This window comes from Homo sapiens, chromosome 3 (genome assembly GCF_000001405.40).
Source record: "Homo sapiens chromosome 3, GRCh38.p14 Primary Assembly".
NCBI classification, from domain to species: domain Eukaryota; kingdom Metazoa; phylum Chordata; class Mammalia; order Primates; family Hominidae; genus Homo; species Homo sapiens.
The window spans coordinates 120,937,348-120,959,762 of NC_000003.12; the positions used below are offsets into that span (position 1 = coordinate 120,937,348).

Below are 22,415 nucleotides of genomic sequence, written 5' to 3' on the forward strand. Positions count from 1 at the left end.
AAACTCACAAAAGTGTAGGGACACCTCTAACCCTCCCCACTCCACCAGAGTTTTTAACTCTCAAACTTGTTCACATTAAACCTCCAGCAATTTGTCAGTTAAATTTTAGGCTGTAATCACTGTAGCTCGAACCCTGTTACTGCTTCCCACGCGGAAGTTTCTGTCCTTAGGTTTCTGCTCAGGTATGTTGTGATCCCTATATCTGCCTGTCTGTCTCTCTGTTTTTGGGACAGCAATTTGTCCTGTGACCTTAGTTTTCTGATGGATCTAAAGAAAGTTGTTGATTTTCAGTTTCTTTGCTTTTTTCTTGTTTTGTGGAGGAGAGCGATGACTTCTATCTAAGCTTCCACATGCCAGACTAGAAATGGAAATTTCAGTATCTTAAAAAACAAACAAACAAAAAAACTTAAAATCTTAGGGTCTATGTTGGAATTAATTTATATACTTAAACAAGGGTCTCAGTATCATAATAGTAGTAAATAATTGTTAATGATTTACAACTTTCTGAGTTACTTCGTAGACTCAAATCTGATTTTGATACACAATAATAGGGGCATAAGTTTAACCTTTTAATTATATTGAGGTTTACTATGAGTTATTTTAAAATTGAGAAGTGTTTAGTGAGTGTTTAAGATGTATCCAGCATTCTTTTTCTTTTAAAAGTTTTTTTTTATTTTACAAGTAATGTATCTTCCATGTAAAAAAGTTAGAAAATACAGGTAAGCAAAAACAGAACAATCTATTATTTTACCTAGATATAACCATCATTAATGTTTCACAGTATTTATATGTGATGTTTTTCTATGTTTATGATTACATGTAAAAAGTTTTTATATAAAAATGGGATTGATACATTCTTCTTGGTAATATTTCTACTTAATATATTATTAACATCTTCCTTGTCTGCTCATTTATTTATTTTTTATATATGGTTAAGTGGTTCATAGAATTCTATTAAGCATCCTGGCTTATTTAAATCATTACTCAATTATTTCTAATATTTTACTTTCCTAAAGATACTACATTAAATGTCTTTGTGCATCTTTATATACTTAGAATTCTTCCTTGGGATAAATTCCTAGGAGAGCAACTTCACAGCTAGAAAGTTAGCATATTTTTAAAGGTTTTTGATATATGCGACCAAATTGTCCCACTGAAAGGTTGTACAGGTTGAGCAACCCAAATCCAAAACATTTGGTTATTATCCTGTGGTTCCTTTAACTCAATGGTTGATCTTGACTCTACACCAAGCTATAATTCTTTTGAAAGCCATTTTTGTCTCTGGTCTTAAATTCATATAGGGCAAATCAAGTTCTTTCATCTCGAGATGGGATCAAACTACTGAAATGCTATATAGCTCTCATTCTAAAGCTATCAGTCACACCATGTGTATTCACTAGGTTGGTGACCTTGAACAGTTGATTAGCCTTTCTTTTTCTTTTTTCTTCTTAGAGACAGAGGCTTGCTCTGTTGCCCAGGCTGGAGTGCAATGGCAAAATCATAGCTCACTGCAGTGTCGAACTCCTGGGTTGAAGGGATCCTCCCACCTCATCCTTCCCAAGTAGCTGGAACTACAGGGGCGAAACACCATTCCTGGCTAATTTATTTTTATTTTTTGTAGAGATGGAGTCTCACTATGTTGCCCAGGCTGGTCTCAACTCATAGCCTCAAGTGATCCTCCCACCTTGGCCTCCCATAGTGCTGGGATTACAGGCTTGTGTCAGGACTCCTGGCCTTGATTAGCCTTTGTAAGCCTCAATTTCATCATTTGTAATCATACCACCCATCTCATGGGGCTATAGAAATAAATAAAAATTAAATGATATAATCCACGTAAAGTGTTTTTCATTGTGTCTAGTACGTAGTAAACAAATGGTAGGGATATCAGCCCTGGGTGCAAGGATTGTATACATATAGACTTCTTGGTTTATTGCTAATGTAGCAAGAGGACAGCTGTCATTTTCAAGTTCTTTGCAACTGGCAACAAATAAGCTAAGAAAGAAAGACATGGACTATATTACTTCTTTGGTAGGGGACAAAAATACTGTTTCTGTAAGTAGATTGTGTATTTAGATTTTATTTTATTTATGATGGAGGCTCAAAATGTTCCCCCTCCCCTGTCTACTACTGGAAATTGAAGAAGTCACCATCTGAGGAAAAGAGGTAACCCACAGATACCTAAAAGCTATTCATATTTATAGAAATAACAACAGTACCTGATATCTCAGTGGACTGTTTGAAATGCAAGTGTGTAGCTCATGAGGGAATCAGACGAAAGCAACAGCAAATCGTCTTTAGTAGTTTAACACCATAATTAGTTAGATAACTAATCTTTTTCAATCGTCGAACATAACGTTAAACATAACCCCATTCTTGTTTCTTTTAAGAAATACACTATTACTGAGAAATATAGAAATACCTATCAAGTGTCTATAGGTATTTAATCAGGTGTTTAACATGGTTTCCGGTACAAGTATTTGTATTAGAAGTACAGATGGAATTGGAAGGGGACCTTAAAATGATCTAGTTCACTCTTTTATTTTATAGATGAAGAAACTGAGAGATTGAGTAATGTGTCCAGGTTAGATTGCCAGTGACAGACCTGAGAACTGAACTACGTCTCCTGACTTCTAACAAAATATTTTTACATGTCATTCTATTTCTGTAATTTTGTTTCACAAGATTTTCATTTTTTTTAAAAGTGGTTTTTATTTTACCCAAAAGCCAAATTATTTTCTATGACTGCTAATTTCCATTTTTATTATATATCAATGAGAAAGATCATTAAGTTCATATAAATTAGTTTGATAGCTATATAGACACATAAAATAGATTCAACAAAAGATGTATTTATGTTTTTCAAATGTGATACAGTATTAAGTTGCAATGTGTTTACATGTTAAATACTCTGGGGAGAGAAGCTAGTGTAGCTAGGAAGAAAATAAAAGTTTCAGACAAGCAGGAGAATTTAAGTGGAAGTACTAGGGCAGGAAGAAAGATGGAGTGGAAGCCATGACCATAAAAGATACTGCGAAATGGAATACCAAATTTGAGTTCTTAAGAGTCTAGAAGAGTATGATGACGAGGCTGTGTTCATTTGAGGCTGATATTAATTAGTGATGATTTGTTGAGTTGAAAGAGAGGACAGAATGATGAGGTCAAAGTGTATGATAAATTGAAGCAAGGATATTGAAGACTCTGAGGCTGTTGATAGGGTCCAGAGTAGAGAGAAAATATATAAGCCAGATGGTAAAATCACGTAAGAAGATGAAAATGAGTCCTAGGGGTGGAAAAAAAAAAACAGTGGAATTTATTTGTAGAGCACTATCTGGCTACATGAGAGATTGTTCTTTCAGTCTTGTGTTCTTTATTGAATAATAAAGATGATAGGATTGGATATCCTTTAGGGGTTATGCCCATGGTTAGTTCATGTTATTAGTGTGCTGGTATTCGTATTACTCTGTCACTATATATTGGTATGTATATATACTTTTCAATGGCAAGAATTGGGCCTGTTAATATATATAATTTGATGTGTTTCTTTGAAGGTATGTTTTAACATATATATATATAATATTATGAAAGGAAGTGATAGTATGAGAGATGATGAGATAGTTTAGAGATGGTAAATGAATTTAATTTGAACTTGATTCTCTCGTGTTTTGAAAGGACACTTTTCTTTTAAGTTTAAGTACTATAAATTTGTACTTACATAATATGTTCAACTTACAGAGCATATTAACATGCATTATCTCAATCATGAGTTTTGGGGTAAGATTAACAGTGTGAATTACAGAATAAGTTACTCATATATATGAATTTTGATAAAAATAAGTAGTATTTTGAATGCTTATAAGGCTCTTGAGCTTTAAACAATAGAATCTCTGATCTCAAGTAATTAATACGGTAGGGAAGAAACACAGGTAGTAAAGAATAATCTACTTTTAATCTGTAATAATCACTAGATTTAATAATACATTAGTATGCATAACATATTGGCAATTATATAACTGCATAAAATATTGTAAAAATGTAGGTGCTCATTCTGTTCTAACATCCTAGCATTATATAATTCAGTTTAATATGGTGACAGTAGTCACAAGGATGGTCAGTGGGAAAAGGGTGAGAATGAAAGCTACTGTACTTTTAAAAAAAATTTTAAATGTGCCTTCATTACTATAGAAAGTTCAGACAACAGCTCTGAATACAGAGATAATTATATATTGATTTAAACATTATTCTAGATAAGGAATTTATTTAAATATTTACAAAATACTTTATTACAATTATTTACCTTTCTTAAAATATGACATAACAGTTTTTGAAGGAAAAACTGCTTATATACACAAATCATATCAATGAACTGGAAAACACTACCTATTAATATTTAATCGTGGCACTAGGCTCAGTGAAGGGGGCAAATGGAAGGCATGATGTCTGTTTATAAAGGAGTTTAGAACTTATTTGGGGAGACCAAAGTGCCATATCATTCGTCAATAACTTTGAATAAAAATGGAAAAATCAAAAAAGGAAAAATTAAATGTCTTCACAGTGAGCTGAATATTATTTTCAAGGAGAATTCAGTACACATATGCTCCTATAAGCATTTAAACACAAGCCATTTAAAACACCTAAGCTGTGGTGTTGGCTTAGCATTTTAACAAATATTTTATGTAGCAGTAAGGCTTTGACTTGGAATTTGAGAAGATAAATAGGTGAATATTTTATTTGTGAAAAATGCTAACATTTAGGACCTCATTCGTTTAATCGCTGTGTATAAATAATTTTATGACTATTAGGTTTTTGAAGATACTTTGAAAAGATATTTTATTAGCAGCTCCAATCAAAGCAAAATATTAAAATTGTTCTTGAGATATATAAACAAATAATTACTTCTTGAATACTAAATTCTGATGGGATTTTATTGTCACAGCTACAGTAGAAATTGATGACATCGGCTCTGTATTTCTAATAGAATTATAACAATGGTATTGTAATTTCTGTAGTATTCAATAAACATTGAGATATATGAATATAATACTGCTATTAATGAAGATTATGAAAACAGGTTAATCTAAGTTCCAAGCTAGTGAAAAGTATTTTGTCTTTCTAACCACTTTATATAATAGAAAATATATTATTCAATGTTACTGAATAAAACCTTTGTTTTGAGGCTTTTAACAAATTTAACAGACTTCAAATTTACAACTAGAAATATAAATAAGAATTTCCTCCCTTTTTTTTTGGTAATTGCTTATTGCTAGTATAGGTAATAGCTACTGATTTTTTTTTGTTTTAATCTTCTACCTAGATAATTTACCACATTCTTTTATTTCCAAAACATTTTTAGTAATTTGTTTCTATTTTCTTGTATTTATATGCATTATTTCAATTTATTGTCTTGCTGAATTAGCTTGAATTTATAAAACAAAGTTGAATAATAATGGGAATAGCAAATATATATGTTTTATTCCTGATTTTAATGGGAATGACTGTAGTTTTTTGTTGTTTAGCATATGTTTGTTATTTTCATTATGTCATTTTCTTCTAATCCTATTTCACATATTTACCTGGTTTGACTGCTAAATTTCATCAAATGCCTTTCCAGAACCTAATGATATAATCATGGTTTTATTCTTTAATTTGTTGATTAATGAATAATGTCAATACAAATCCTTATTCAACTTCTTGTTGAAATCTAACAGAAATATGTTTTAAATTTTATTTATTTTCCCTTCCATGAAAAAGAAAAAGTATGAATAATTTTCTGGCTTTGTAAATAAAATTAACTCATATTTATATTTTTCTGAAAATGCTATGTCAATTAAAAATTATTATCACAGGAAAAAATTAAGTAAAACAAACAATCAGAATTACAGATTCCTTAGAGACTAAAGATTATATTCACAAGAGGTAGCAGCAATCTGTAAAGTACAGCTGTCTTGTAAGACTCCTTTTTAGAGACAACATTTGCAAAGACATTTATATGATGAAGAATATCATTTGCTTTTCTGTATCTGTATCTTGCCAAGGTTTATTTTGTAAGCAGTTAGAAGTTCTCACAATTTGAAGGCTAGGGTCTGGAAAACTCAAAATTTAAATTAAGGAAAGGAAAAGGATAAAATAAGTTAGTAACTAATAAGAGTATGAGGTATATATATTTAGTATCTATACTTACATTTGTGGAATAAAATGTGTTTGGCCATGGTTTATCATTGTTTGAATATATCACTTGGTTTTGATTTATCAGTATCTTATTTAGTGTTTTGCACCTATATTTATAAGTCTTCATTTGCTTTATAATGCTTAAAACAATCTGATATTATGTAGACTATAAAATATGATGAGTTTCCTGTGAAATTACTACTATATTCAAAATAGCCCTTTTGTGGCTATTTCATCCTTTGTGGCCCTTTGCAGCAGCCCATCCATCTTTTCTGCCTTGGACCCAGGAAACAACTGTTTTCTTCTTCTTCTTCTTTTTTTTTTTTAAACTGGATCATTAGTATCTTATATAGTTTATTTTTCTCTCTGTCTCGCTTTCTCTCTTTTTCTCTGTCTCTTCTGTTTGAATATATGTATCTGATGTTTAACATATTGAAAGATGAGGGCAATTGGGGGAAGAGTTTGGGACTGAATTAGTGATAAGCACATAAAAACTAAGGAAATGAAGAAAATTTAAAAAAATTAGCCCCAGGGAACAAAAACATTTGTGTGGCAAAGTAAAAGAGTAGTAGTTAGTAGAGACTGAACAGTTAGGATTTTTTTTTGGAGGATGGGGATGTGGGAAGTATGCTTGTATGTGTAATGGGGGTAGGTGAGAAAGAGAATCCTTTTTTTTTCCCTTTGGAAAAGTCAGTAAGTAGCAATGTAAAAATGTTATTTTGAGACACATTAAGTAAAAATACAAAAATAAAGAGCAAAAAATATTGAAAAGTGGTTGCATCTGGGAAGTAGGAAATGGGAGAGGGAAGGAGACATATGACTTTTAATTATCTTAATATGTCCTATAGAATTATATGACTTGTTAAACTATGTGCATGATAGACTATGTTAAAAATAAAACTAGCATGAGAAGAGAAAAAAGTTAGATATAAAATTTCAAAAAATAAGTTAATGAACAAATATCCCATTTCTATTATATATATTTCCAAATATAAAATGGGAGTGGATTAGTGCTTTATTCTTTTAACAATTTAATATAACTACCTTTTGGATCTTTGAATGTGATAGTTTCCTTGTTATTTCAAGAGATTTGTAAGTCTTACTGAGAAACTAGTACCAATACTTCCATCGCCAATGACCAGTGGTTGTTTACGTGAGCAGGTAATTTGCCACTCTTGTGCATACAGAACAATCTTACTTTTTTATTTTTTTGAATCACAATGTGATGGAGTTTCATGGGAACTTGTTATTTCTATCACCGTTATGCCACTCTATGGTGTCATATGCATTATAGACCTTTTACTTAGTCTTTTCTTTCATCCAAGAGAGCAGGAAATTATTCAGCAATACTTTCAGTGACCCAAGATGACATCAGATTTAGGTAAGAGCTGTGAACATACACACATAATCCTAAAAAACTCAAGGTTTAAATGATTTGGCTGTTATTGAAAACAAGCATCATTGAAATTGAGGGACCTTTCTCAACAATGAGAGTTGCTCCATAGTTCCAGTAATAATTGGCTTTTGTTTACCAAAGTGGCAAAATATGTTGTGTCCATCACGTTCCTTACTACAGATATTTTATCTCAAATTATATCAATTCATGACTTACTGCATAAATTTTGAGACAGTTTATGTACAATTTCTGAATTCAAGATCTGGAATGATATGCCCCAATCCACACTTTACCCAGAGTGTAACATCTGTAGACCAAAAACTCGACAAGTAACCTAATATCAGAAAAGGCATAGCATATATTAGGTAATCATAGCTATTTACTGGCAAATCTTCTACCTAGAATAATTTTTAAATAAAATAAATGTATTTCATAATTGGAATATTCTATTCCCTGTTACATATAGGTATTATTATTATTTTCTATACATGGTAGTTTCCAATGGTTACATTAATATTATTAAGTGAAACCTGGTACAATGCTTCTAGGAGTTCTGTGTTCAAATATAGAAATGATAGCTTTGGCATATCAGTATTATTTGAATAGGATATATATATGCAATGTCAACCAAAAAAATCAGATGAAAAATATGTCCAAATATGTTGAATTTATTTGGGAATTAGAAATGAAGTTTTTTTTAACCTGAGATGCATAGCCATGCCAAGCCATGTATGCATCTGAAGAGGCGAGAGTAAAACGAAGCTGGTATTGGCAAAAGGAGAAGTTCACATAAACTGCTTGGAAATAGAGGTCATTGGTTTTGGAGACTCAAAGCCAGAGTTGGCATCAGTTCATTGGTGGAAACGCTATTACTGGGCAAGTGTTCTTTCAAGAGGATCTTATATTAATTATAGCAGTACTGAAAAAAGAATTTCTCTTGGAGTTGTTTTAGAAAGTCCTTGAGACAGTCTTTATCTCAGACATGCAAGCATGAACCCTTCATGCTTTTCGCTTTTCCAGCTCTGGTTTGTTTGGGTCTACAAAAAATGATTTCATTCTGGTATCTGCAACTTTCACAGCATGAACCATTAATATGATAGCACACTAGAAGTCTTTAGAATCAAAAGCCATATTTATTTTTTTCATTTTTTAGGCTGATGATCAATACTGGGAAGCATTCCTCATAAATTAACTTGGTGATCTAATATTTACTTCTTTTTAAAAATGAATGGTTGGGGTATGTATTAGGATGCAAGTTAGGCTACTGTAACAGGCCATAATAACTGTGGCTTAAACAATATAGAAATTTATCTGTCTTTTATGAATATGTCCAATCAAAAGCAACCTTGAACTGATTCCATGATTGTACGGTGTCAATAATCCAACAAGATCTTTCTATCTTGTTCTGCCATCCTCAACATATGGCTTCCATTTCATATTCTAAGATGGCTGTTCTAACTCCTGCTATTGTATCTATTTTCCAATCAGTCAGAAGGTAAGAAAAATAGAATATTTGCCTTTACCATTAAGAATATATTATATATAATTTCTTCTGTTTTCCTTTGTTCACGATCTGGTCTAGCCTGCAGTGGAGGCTGATAAATATAGTATTTAACTGGATTGTTATCTGCTGAACTAAAACTTCTATTAGTATAGAAGGGAAAAATGCAGACATTGGGGAACAGTAGACAGTCCCCATCACAGGTGGTTTTGAGGCTATTTTGCCACATTATGACAGTATTAAGCCTGAACAATCAGGCCTAATATAAATTCTGCTTTGCCAAAGTACTGCTGTTAGTTCTATCCTGGTCCCTTTGTGTTCCCAATTATACTAAGAAAACTAAAACTAAAACTACACTAAAATATTCAGATTTTTTTGGTAGCTGGGTTCTGGTTAGATTCTGCCAATGGGAGGCACTTATGTCAAATTAAAAAGTAGAGGGGAAGCAAAAGTCATTTTGTTTCCGGTAGTGCCTCTTGCAATATCAGCACTGAGTACAGGTTTATGTATTTCATCCTCAGAAGAGGTAGCAACTTCCTTAACTCAGGGTAGTATGACTAGCCCTCCCACATATTTGTAACTAATTCTTTCTATTACATATTTATTTGCTTCAAATATCTAGATAGATTTGTGTAACTATTGATACGTTGGCCACTTCATTCCTGTAATATTTTGAAGGGAGAGTGGAACAAAAGAAAACAAGCAAAGCAAAGTAGCATTAAGAAGAGCTAGATATTAAGAAATTCACTTATTTTTTACTAGCTTTGCTACCATTATCTTACTTCACTGAGCATAAATTATAATATTTCAAGAACACTTTTTGACTTTGTCTAAAACTGAGAATTTTTTAAGCTTAACATAGTTGTCTTCAAACTCTGTTCTACATTTTCTTTGCTCCTTTTTTCCTACTGCATCTATATCATTCCAGTTGATGTCCTTGATTCTTTTGAAATCAACTAGGTACCCCAACTGATGTCAACTTTTTATTGCATACTTTGTCTCATAATACGATTTGGTGTTCTTGAGAAGAAAAAATTCTTTTACTTCAAATTGAAATATAACCCACCCACCATACAATTCACCTATTTAAAGTGTACATTTCAGTGGTGTTTGGTATGTTCACAGAGTTGTGCAACAACCTCCACGATCAATTTTAGAACATTTCCATCAGTCCAGAAAGGCACGTTGTATTCATTAACAGTCAATTCCTATTACTCTGAACCCCCATCCCTTGGCAACCACTAATATAAATTCTGTTTCTATAGATTTTCCTATTCTATACACTTCATGTAAATGGAATCATACAGTATGTGACTAGCTTCTTCAGTTAGCATAACATTTTCAAGGTTCATCTATGTTGTAGCACATATCAGTACTTCATTTTTTAAAATTGAGGAACAATATTCTATTGTGTGGATATACCACATTTTGTTTATTTATTCATCAGTCGATGGACATTTGAGTTGTTTCTTTTTGGCTGCTATGAATAATGCTGCTATGAACATTACAAGAGCTTTGTTTATATTTATGTTTTCATTTCTCTTGGGTTTATGCCCAGGAGCAGAATTGCTGAATCATATGGTAACTCTGTATTTCATATATTGAGGAACTACCAATCTATTTTCCAAAGAGCCTGCATTATTTTACATTTCTAACAGCAATGTATTAGGGCTCCAATTTCTTTACATCTTTATCAACATGTGTTAATATATCTGTTTTTTATTATAGTTATCCTAGTGGGTGCACAGTTGTATCTTGTTGATATGATTTACAGTTCCCTAATGGCTAATGATGTTGAGGATCTTTCGGTGTTTATTGGCCATTTATATATATTATTTATTTATTATATAATAAATGTCTGTTAAGATCCTTTGCCCATTTTAAATTTAGGTTATTTGTCTTTTTATTGAATTTTAAGGGTTCTTTATATATTCTGGATTAAGTTCTTTTTCAGATATTTGATTTGCAAATTATTTTCCCATTCTGTGGATTATCCTTTCCCATTTTTATTTCAATAGTTTTTGGGGAACAGGTGGTTTTTGGTTACATAGATAACTACTTTAGTGCTAATTTCTGAGATTTTTGGCACCCATCACCTGAGCAGTGTACACTGTACCCAATGTGTAGTTTTTAACTCTCACCCAACTCCCACCCTTCCTCCTGAGCCCCCAAAATCCATTATATCATTCTTATGCCTTTGTGTCCTCATAGGTTAGCTCTTACTTATATGTGAGAACATGTAATATTTGGTTTTTCATTCCTGAGTTACTTAACTTAGAATAATGGTCTCCAACTCCACCCAGGTTTCTGTAAATGCTATTATTTCATTCCTTTTTATGACAGAGTAGTATTTTACGGTGTATATATACCACATTCTCTTTATTCACTCATTGGTTGATGGGCATTTAGGCTGGTTCCATATTTTTCTGCGATTGGAAATTGTGCAGCTATAAGCATGCCTGTGCATGTGTCTTTTTCATATAATGATTTTTTTTTTCTTCTGAGTAGATATCCAATGGTGGGATTGCTGGATCAAATGGTAGTTCTACTTTTAGCTCTTTAAGGAATATCTATACTGTTTTCTATAGGAGTTGTACTAGTTTATATTCCCACCAGCAGTGTAAAAGTGTTCACTTTTCACCACATCCACGCCAACATCTATTATTTTTTGATTTTTAAATTATGGTCAGTCTTGCAGGAGTAAGGTGGTATCTCATTGTGGTTTTAATTTGCATTTTCTTGATAATTAATGGTCTTGAGCATTTTTCATGTTTGTTGACCATTTGTGTATCTTCTTTTGAGAATTGTCTATTCATGTCCTTTGCCCAATTTTTCATGGGATTATTATATTTATATTTTTATTTTTTGCTGATTTGTTTGAGTTTCTTGTAGATTCTGGATATTAGTTGTTTCTCAGATGCATAGTTAGTGAATATTTTCTCCCATTCTGTGGGTTGTCTGTTTACTCTGCTGATTATTTCTTTTGCTGTGCAGAAGCTTTTTAGTTTAATTAGGTCCCATTTATTTATGTTTGTTTTTGTTGCATTTGCTTTTGGGTTCTTGGTCATGAACTCTTTGCCTAAGCCAATGTCTAGAAGAGTTTTTCCAATGTTATCTTCTAGGATTTTTATGGTTTCAGGTTTTAGATTTAAGACTTTGATCCACCTTGAGGTGATTTTTGTATAAAGTGAGAGATGAGGATCCAGTTTCATTCTTCTACATGTGGCTTGCCAATTATCCCAGCACCATTTGTTAAATAGGGTGTCCTTTCCCTACCTTATATTTTTGGTTGCTTTGTTGAAGGTCAAATACCTTGTCAAAATATTCAGCTGTATTTCTGGGTTCTTTATTCTGTTCCATTTGTCTACATGCCTATTTTTATACCAGTACCATGCTGTTTTGGTAACTATAGCCTTGTAGTATAGTTTGAAGTCAGATAATGTAATGCCTCCAGATTTGTTTTCTTTAACTGTCTTTGATGGTGTCCTTTATAGCGCATAAGTTTTTGCTTTGGACAGAGTTCAATATGTCTGTTTTTTGTTTCATTGCTTGTGTTTTTGGTGTTTTATTTAAGAAACCATTGTCTACCTTTCCACAGTGTAGACATACATCAAAACACCATGTTCTAACCATAAACATTTATAATTTTTGTCAATTAAAAAATAATTTAAAAAAACATTACCTAATTGAAGTCACTAAGATTTAAACAGATTTCTTTATTCTTAGAGTTTTATAGCTTTGACTTTTATATTTAAACGTACGATCCATTTTGAGTTAATTTTTGTGTATGTTATAAGTAAGGGATTTAACTTGATTCTTTTACATGTGGATATAGAGTTGCTACAGCACCATTTGCTGAAAGGATTAGTCTTTCCTCAATGAATTGTCTTGGCACTCTTTTCAAAAATCAATGGACTGAAAATGTGAGGATTTATTTCTGGAATCTCATTTCCGTTCCATTAATCTATATGTCTATCCTTATGCCAATACCTTATTTTCTTGATTACTTTAGGTTTGTATAAGTTTTGAAATAGAAAAATGTGAGTTACCTAACTTTGTTCTCTTTCAAGATTGTTTTGTTATTATGAGTCTCTTGGATATCTATTTAAATTTTAGGATTAGTTTGTCAATTTTTTTTATTATACTTTAAGTTTTAGGGTACATGTGCACAATGTGTAGGTTAGTTACATATGTATACATGAGACATGCTGGTGCGCTGCACCCACTGCTCAATGAAATAAAAGAGGATACAAACAAATGGAAGAACATTCCATGCTCATGGGTAGGAAGAATCAATATCGTGAAAATGGCCATACTGCCCAAAGTAATTTATAGATTCAATGCCATCCCCATCAAGCTACCAATGATTTTCTTCACAGAATTGGAAAAAACTACTTTAAAGTTCATATGGAACCAAAAAAGAGCCAGCATCGCCAAGTCAACCCTAAGCCAAAAGAACAAAGCTGGAGGCATCACGCTACCTGACTTCAAACTATACTACAAGGCTACAGTAACCAAAACAGCATGGTACTGGTACCAAAACAGATATAGATCAATGGAACAGAACAGAGGCCTCAGAAATAATGCTGCATATCTACAACTATCTGATCTTTGACAAACCTGAGAAAAACAAGCAATGGGGAAAGGATTCCCTATTTAATAAATGGTGCTGGAAAAACTGGCTAGCCATATGTAGAAAGCTGAAACTGGATCCCTTCCTTACACCTTACACAAAAATCAATTCAAGATGGATTAAAGACTTAAACATTAGACCTAAAACCATAAAAACCGTAGAAGAAAACCTAGGCATTACCATTCAGGACATAGGCACGGGCAAGGACTTCATGTCTAAAACACCAAAAGCAATGGCAACAAAAGCCAAAATTGACAAATGCGATCTAATTAAACTAAAGAGCTACTGCACAGCAAAAGAAACTACCATCAGAGTGAACAGGCAACCCACAAAAATGGGAGAAAATTTTCGCAACCTACTCATCTGACAAAGGGCTAATATCCAGAATCTACAATGAACTCAAACAAATTTACAAGAAAAAAACAAACAACCCCATCAAAAAGTGGGCGAAGGACATGAACAGACACTTCTCAAAAGAAGACATTTATGCAGCCAAAAAACACATGAAAAAATGCTCACCATCACTGGCCATCGGAGAAATGCAAATCAGAACCACAATGAGATATCATCTCACACCAGTTAGAATGGCAATCATTAAAAAGTCAGGAAACAACAGGTGCTGGAGAGGATGTGGAGAAATAGGAACACTTTTACACTGTTGTTGGGACTGTAAACTAGTTCAACCATTGTGGAAGTCAGTGTGGCGATTCCTCAGGGATCTAGAACTAAAAATACCATTTGACCCAGCCATCCCATTACGGGGTATATACCGAAAGGAGTATAAATCATGCTGCTATAAAGACACATGCACACGTATGTTTATTGCGGCACTATTCACAATAGCAAAGACTTGGAACCAATCCAAATGTCCAACAATGATAGACTGGATTAAGAAAATGTGGCACATATACACCATGGAATACTATGCAGCCATAAAAAATGATGAGTTCATGTCCTTTGTAGGGACATGGATGAAACTGGAAATCATCATTCTCAGTAAACTATCGCAAGAACAAAAAACCAAACACCGCATATTCTCACTCATAGGTGGGAATTGAACAATGAGAACACATGGATACAGGAAGGGGAACATCACACTCTGGGGACTGTTGTGGGGTGGGGGGATGGGGGAGGGATAGCATTGGGAGATATAACTAATGCTAGTTTGTCAATTTTTGCAAAAAAGCCAGCTGGGATTTTGACAGAGATTGCATTGATTTTAATATCAATTCGGAGAGTATTGCCACATTAATGTTTAATCTATAGATATCTGGGATGACTTTTATTTAGATCTTCAAGTTTTAAAAGAATATTGTGTAGTTTTCAGAGTACAAATTTTGCACTTCTTTTGTTCATTTTATTCCTATATATTTTATTCCTTTGGATTCTACTTATTATAAATGGGGTTCTTTATTTTATTTTTGGATAGTTTATTGTTAGTATGCAGGAATACAATTGACTTTTTATTTTTTTAATATTTCACTTTTAAGTCCTCATAAAAGCCTTTATTATAGCCTAATGGTAAAGCACTGGATTTATAATGGTGATTTTGCAACATGGTGAATCAAGACATTTATCTTCATAAAAACACTTTGAAGCAGTGACTTCAACTCACCGTTTCTATAGTTCTGACAACAATTAATGTCATTTTTCTTCTTTTGGCATTGATGGATGCTTGATCATGCAACTATATAAAGTACCCATGCCCTTATCAATAAACAATATCCTTGGTCAATGAATAAGGGTGTGTACAATTTTTAAAATTTTTTCCGTATAGTTTCTTTTGTACCCTGTCACCCAGGCTGGAGTACAGTGGTGTGATCATGGTTTACTGCAGCCTCAACCTCCCAGGCTCAAGTGATCCTCCTATCTAAGCCTCCAGAGTATCTGAGACTATAGGCATGCACCACCATGCCCAGCTAATTTTTTTTTTTCTTAATAGAGACAAGATCTCTCTATCTTGCCCAGGGTGGTATCGAACTCCTGGGCTCAAGTGATCCACCTGCCTTGACCTCCCAAAGTGCTGGGATTACAGGTGCAAGTCACTGCACCCAGCCCATTTTCCATATAGTTTCTAAGCAATTGTCAGGCATTGTTCTAACAAGAAATGGATCTTACAGACATGCTTGAAATAGATTCACTTAAAGAGCTGTTGAACAAATATGATATGAAATATAAACTTGGAGTGGGGAAAACTACTCATTATAAATAAGCAGCAGTGGAAATCTATACAGTAATTTTTTGCCAGTAGCTCCAATAGCCTTGAAAGATCTCACAATTGACTTTTTTTTTTTTTTTTTTTTTGAGATGAGGTCTTGTTCTGTTGTTCAGGCTGGGGCGTAGTGACATGATCATGGCTCACTGCAGCTTCAACCTCCTGGGCTCAAGTGATCCTTCTGCCTTAGCCTCCTGAGTAGCTGGGACTGCAGGTGTGCGCCATCATGCCTGGTGAATTTTTCCTTTTTTTTTTTTTTTTGTAGAGATGGGGTCTTGTAATATTGCCCAGGTTGGTTTTGAACTCCTGAACTCAAGCAATCCTCCTGCTTTGGCCTCCCAAAGTGCTGATATTACAGACATGGGCCACTGTGCCTAGCCCACAATTGAGTTTTTTACATTAATTTTGTAACTTTAGCTTGCAGAGCTCCTTTATTAGTTCTAATAATTTTTTAGTGTATTTCTTAGGATTGCATTTATACAAAATTGTGTTCCTTGCAGATAGTTTTAGTTCTTCCTTCCTATCTGGATGTGTCTTACTTCTTTTTCTTGTCTAATTGCTCTGGATGGGATAGAACCTTCAGTACAATATTGAATAGAGGTGGATAGAGTGGAAATACTTGTTTGATTCCTAACCTTAGAAGGAAAACATTGATTCTTTCACTAATTTTTATGATGTAGGTTTTTTATACATGCCATTTATTAGATGTATAAGGCAGGAACAGAAAGAAAAGTTGAAAGAATTATATTGTGAACACTCACTAATATGTATATTCTTACCACTAATATTTGACAGTTATCATTCACTTATCATGTATCTATCTATCCATCTGTCCACCCAGGTATCTATATTATTTTGTGGATGCATTTTCAAGTTGCAGATGTCAGTATACTTTACCCTTTAACACCTCCGTATACATAACATTGAATAGATTTTAATATTTGTTTCTAATAATTTCTTAACATTTTTTGAGGTGTAATTTATATGCAGAGAAATCACAAATTTTATTGTACCATTTTATGAGTTTTAACTAATGTATATGCTTGTGTAATCCAAATTGCTATGAAAATACAGAATATTACATCTTTACTCAAAAAAGTTTCTTCATATTCCTTCCCAATCAATAACTCTTCAAGACAACTACTGTTCTGATTTTATAAACTTGTGTATGGCTTCTTAGCATAGTTTTTTTTGAGAATCATTTGTGTTGTTGCATCTATCAGTAGTTTGTGTCTTTTAATTGTTTAGTAGTATTCCATTGTATGATTATATCATATCACAGTTTGTTTTTTTAATTCTTTTGTTGGACACCTGGGCTGTTTCCAGATTTTTACTATTTTGAATACAGCTGGTAGGGTCTTACTTATACAAATCATTTTATGAACATATGCTTTTAATTTTCCTGAATATATGCATAGGAGTGGAATTGCTAGATTGTAAGACAGATGTATATTTAGTTTTATAAGAAACTGCAAGATATTTTAAAAAAGTGTTTGTATCATTTTACACTCCCATCAGCAATGTATGAGTTTAGGTTACTCCATCTCTGTGTTAATGTTTGGTGGTAGCTTTTTTTTTTCCTTTAAACTAATTTTAGACATTCTGGTGGCTATATAATGGTATCTTGTGATTGTAATTTTTATTTCCCTAGAGACTTATTGGTATTATTTGCTCTCTTTCAGACAGTTCGGCATGGTTTTCCTCATCAGCCCACAGCATTAGCCTTTGATCCAGTTCAGAAAATCTTGGCTATTGGGACGAGAACAGGTGCTATACGAATGTATCCTTAAATTTTGGTTCATTATCTGCCACAGTAATGCCAATTACATTTCTTTAAATATTCAGGTAAGATAAATATTTATGACCAAATAAAGTTTATTATTTTTTAAGAAATGAGTAACTATTGTGAAAAATCTGCACTTTCAAATTTATTGGCATATTTTTAATGTCTTTGAGATCAGTATTGATGTCTCTTCTTTAACTCCTGTTATTTGTAATTTGTATCTTCTCTTTTTTCCTTATCCATCTGCCTAGAAGTTTATCAATTGTATTGATTCTCATGATTCTCACAAAGAATCAACTTTTGGGTGCGTTGCTCTTCTTTATTGTGTTTCTATATTCGATTTCATTGAATTCTGCTTTGATCACTTAAATTTCTTTGCTTTTGCTTACCTGGGGTTTAATTTGATCTTCTTTCTCTAGTTTTTAAAGTGGAAACAGTTAATTAATTTGAGAACTTTCTTCTTTTCTAATATGTGCCTATAGTACTATAAATTTCCTCCCAAATTCTACTTTAGTGTCATCTTGTTTTTTAAAATTAAACTTTTTGAGATAATTAATTGTAGATGCACATGTAGTTATAAGAAATAATACAGAGATATCCATATTCTTTCACCTACTTTGCTCCAATTGTAGCATCTTAAAAAACTATAGTGTAATATCACAACCAGGATATTGACATTATACAATCAAGATACAAAACATTTCTATCACCACAAGGATTCTTCATATTGCTCTTTTATGGTCACACCTTGTCCCTCCAACCCCATCCTTGACCCCTAACAACCACTAATTTGTTTTTCATTTCAATAATTTTGCCACTTCAAAAATGTTATATAAATGGAATCATACAGTTTATAATTTTTGGCGATTGGCCATTTTCACTCAGTATAACTCTCTGAAGATTCATTCATATTGTTGCATGTATCAATAGTTTATTCCTTTATACTGAATTGGATAATATTCCATGGTATAGATGTACCACAGTGTAGCCATTCACCTATTCAAAGAAATTTGACTTGTTTCTGGTTTTTGGCTATTCTTACTAAACAACTATGATCATCTGTGTACATATTTTTGTGTGAACCTAAGTTTTTGTTTCTCTGGTGTAAATGCCCAGGAGTACAACTGAAGGGTCATGTGGTAATTAGATATTTTAGTTTTAATTTTTTTAGTGTACCATTCAGCGTTATTAAATACATTTATATTATGCAACCATCATCACCGTCCTTTTCTGTAAATCTTTCACTTTGTAAAACTGAAACTCTACACCCATTAAATTATAACTCTCCATGTCCCTCTTCTTCTAGCCCCTGGAAACCACCATTCTGCTTTCTGTTTCTATAATTTTTACTACTCTAGGTAACTTATATAAGTGAAAGCATACAGTATTCTTCTTTTTTGTGACTGGCTTATTTCATTCAGCATAATGTCCTCAACGTTTATCCATGTTGAAGCATATGTGAGAACTTCCTTCCTTTTTAAGACTGAATAATATTTCATTGTGTGTATATATCACATTTTGATATCTGTTCGTTAATTTATGGGCACTTGTTTTTTCCATGTTTTAGCTATTATGAATAATATTGCTATGAACATGGGTGTACAAATATCTCTTTGAAATGTTGCTTTTAGTTCTTTTGGGTATATATCCAGAAGAAGAATTGCTGGATCATATGATAATTGTATTTTTAATTTTTTGAGGAACTGTCATTCTGTTTCTCATAGCAGCTATACTGGTTTACATTTTCACCAATAGTAATTGCCCTTTGATGCAAATATTTTAAATTTTAATGAAGTTCAAGTTGGCTATTTTTTTCTTTTGTTGCCTGTGCTTTGGTGTCATATGTAAGAAATCTTTACCAAATCCAATGGAATGAAGCTTTTACCCTGTTTTCTTCTAAGAGTTTTATAGTTTTAGGTTTTACATTTGGGCCTTTTATCCATTTCTGAGTGAATTTTTGTATATAGTAAAAGGGTCTAATCTCACTATTTGGCATGTGGATATCCCATTTTCCCAGAACCATTTGTTGACAAGACTGTCTTATCCATTGAATGGTACTGGCACCCTTGTCAAAAAATTATTTGATCATACATGTTAGGGTTTGTTTGTGGGCTCTCCTATTCTATTCCACTGATCTATAGGTATGTTTCTATGTTACTACTACACTGTTTTTATTTACTGTAGCTTTGTAGATTGGAAACCAGATAGTGTGAAATTTGAAATTAGATGAATTTTCAGCACTTATTGAAATGATCGGATAGTTTTTGTTATTGATTATGTTACTGTGATATATGATATTTATTGATTTGCATATGCTGAACCATTCATGAATTCCTGAGATGATTCCCACTTGATAATGATAAGTGATTTTTAAAAAATATGTTGTCTTGTTGAAATTGATTTGTGAGTATTTTGTTGAGGATTTTTGCATCTAGGTTTATCGAGGATATTGGCTTGTAGTGTTCTTTTTTGTTCTGTCTTTGTTGGTTTTGGTATTAGGATAATGCCGGCCTCATAGATGAGATTGAAAGTATTCCCTGCTTTTCAATTTTTTTCTTAAGAGTTTGAGTAGAAGTAGTATTAGTTCTTTAAATGTTTGGTAGACTTCTGAATTACTACTGAGTACATAACGAAATGAAGGTAGCAATAAAGATGTTCTTTGAAACCAACGAGAACAAAGATACAACATACCAGGATCTCTGGGACACATTTAAAGCAGTGTGTAGAGGGAAATTTATAGCACTAAATGCCCACAAGAGAAAGCAGGAAAGATCTAAAATTGATGCCTTAACATCACAATTAAAAGAACTAGAGAAGCAAGAGTAAATACATTCAAAAGCTAGCAGAGACAAGAAATAACTAAGATCAGAGCAGAACTGAAGGACATAGAGACACAAAAAACCTTTCAAAAAATCAACGAATCCAGGAGCTGGTTTTTTGAAAAGATCAACAAAATTGATAGACCGCTAGCAAGACTAATAAAGAAGAAAAGGGAGAAGAGTCAAATAGACACAATAAAAAGTGATAAAGGGGATATCACCACCGATCCTGCAGAAATACAAACTACCATCACAGAATACTATAAACAACTCTATGCAAATAAACTAGAAAATCTAGAAGAAATGGATAAATTCCTGGACACATACACCCTCCCAAGACTAAACCAGGAAGAAATTGAATCTCTGAATACACCAATAACAGGATCTGAAATTGAGGCAATAATTAATAGCTTACCAACCAAAAAAAGTCCAGGACCAGATGGATTCACAGCCGAATTCTACCAGAGGTACAAGGAGGAGCTGGTACCATTCCTTCTGAAACTATTCCAATCAATAGAAAAAGAGGGAATCCTCCCTAACTCATTTTATCAGGCCAGCATCATCCTGATACCAAAGGCTGACAGAGACACAACAAAAAAATAGAATTTTAGACCAGTATCCCTGATGAAGATCAATGCAAAAATCCTCAATATAATACAAACCGAATCCAGCAACATATCAAAAAGCTTATCCACCATGATCAAGTGGGCTTCATCCCTGGGATGCAAGTCTGGTTCAACATATGCAAATCAATAAATGTAATCCAGCATATAAACAGAACCAAAGACAAAAACCACATGATTATCTCAATAGATGCAGAAAAGGCCTTTGACAAAATTCAACAGCCCTTCATGCTAAAAACTCTCAATAAATTAGGTATTGATGGGACGTATCTCTAAATAATAAGAGCTATCTATGACAAACCCACAGCCAATATTATACTGAATGGGCAAAAACTGGAAGCATTCCCTTTGAAAACTGGCACAAGACAGGGATGCCCTCTCTCACCACTCCTATTCAACATAGTGTTGGAAGTTCTGGCCAGGGCAATTAGGCAGGAGAAGGAAATAAAGAGTATTCAATTAGGAAAAGAGGAATTCAAATTGTCCCTGTTTGCAGGTGACATGATTGTATATCTAGAAATCCCCATCATCTCAGCCCAAAATCTCCATAAGCTGATAAGCAACTTCAGCAAAGTCTCAGGATACAAAATCAATGTGCAAAAATCACAAGCATTCTTATACACCAAAAACAGACAGAGAGCCAAATCATGAGTGAACTCCCATTCACAATTGCTTCAAAGAGAATAAAATACCTAGGAATCCAACTTACAAGGGACGTGAAGGACCTCTTCAAGGAGAACTACAAACCACTGCTCAATGAACTTAAAGAGGATACAAACAAATGGAAGAACATTCCATGCTCATGGTTAGGAAGAATCAATGTCTTGAAACTGGCCATACTGCTCAAGGTAATTTATAGATTCAATGCCATCCCCATCAAGCTACCAATGACTTTCTTCACAGAACTGGAAAAAACTACTTTAAAGTTCATATGGAACCAAAAAAGATCCCACATTGCCAAGTCAATCCTAAGCCAACAGAACAAAGCTGGAGGCATCATGCTACCTGACTTCAAACTATACTACAAGGCTACAGTAAGCAAAACAGCATGGTACTGGTACCAAAACAGAGATATAGACCAATGGAACAGAACAGAGGCCTCAGAAATAATGCCACACATCTACAACCATCTGATCTTTGACAAATCTGACAAAAACAAGAAAGGGGGAAAGGATTCCCTATTTTATAAATGATGCTGGTGGGAAAACTGGCTAGCCATATGTAGAAAGCTGAAACTGGATCCCTTCCTTACACCTTATACAAAAATTAATTCAAGATGG

At 33.1% G+C, this 22,415-nt stretch overlaps 1 protein-coding gene across 14 annotated transcripts in view; it reads left to right on the forward strand.

The window, feature by feature from the left end:
* The window catches only part of STXBP5L (syntaxin binding protein 5L), a 516,557-nt gene that overhangs the window by 29,143 nt on the left and 464,999 nt on the right, over positions 1–22,415 (forward strand). For 13 of the 14 annotated variants that reach the window (NR_145516.2, XR_924217.3, XR_001740373.2 and 10 more), the window contains exon 3: positions 17,593–17,690. Coding sequence is in view for 10 of the 14 variants with exons in the window: in NM_014980.3 (NP_055795.1) it covers positions 17,593–17,690 (98 nt within the window). In the remaining 4 variants the exon portion in view is untranslated. The remainder of the gene's footprint in view (positions 1–17,592; positions 17,691–22,415) is intronic. The other variant, NR_145517.2, reaches the window with a different exon arrangement.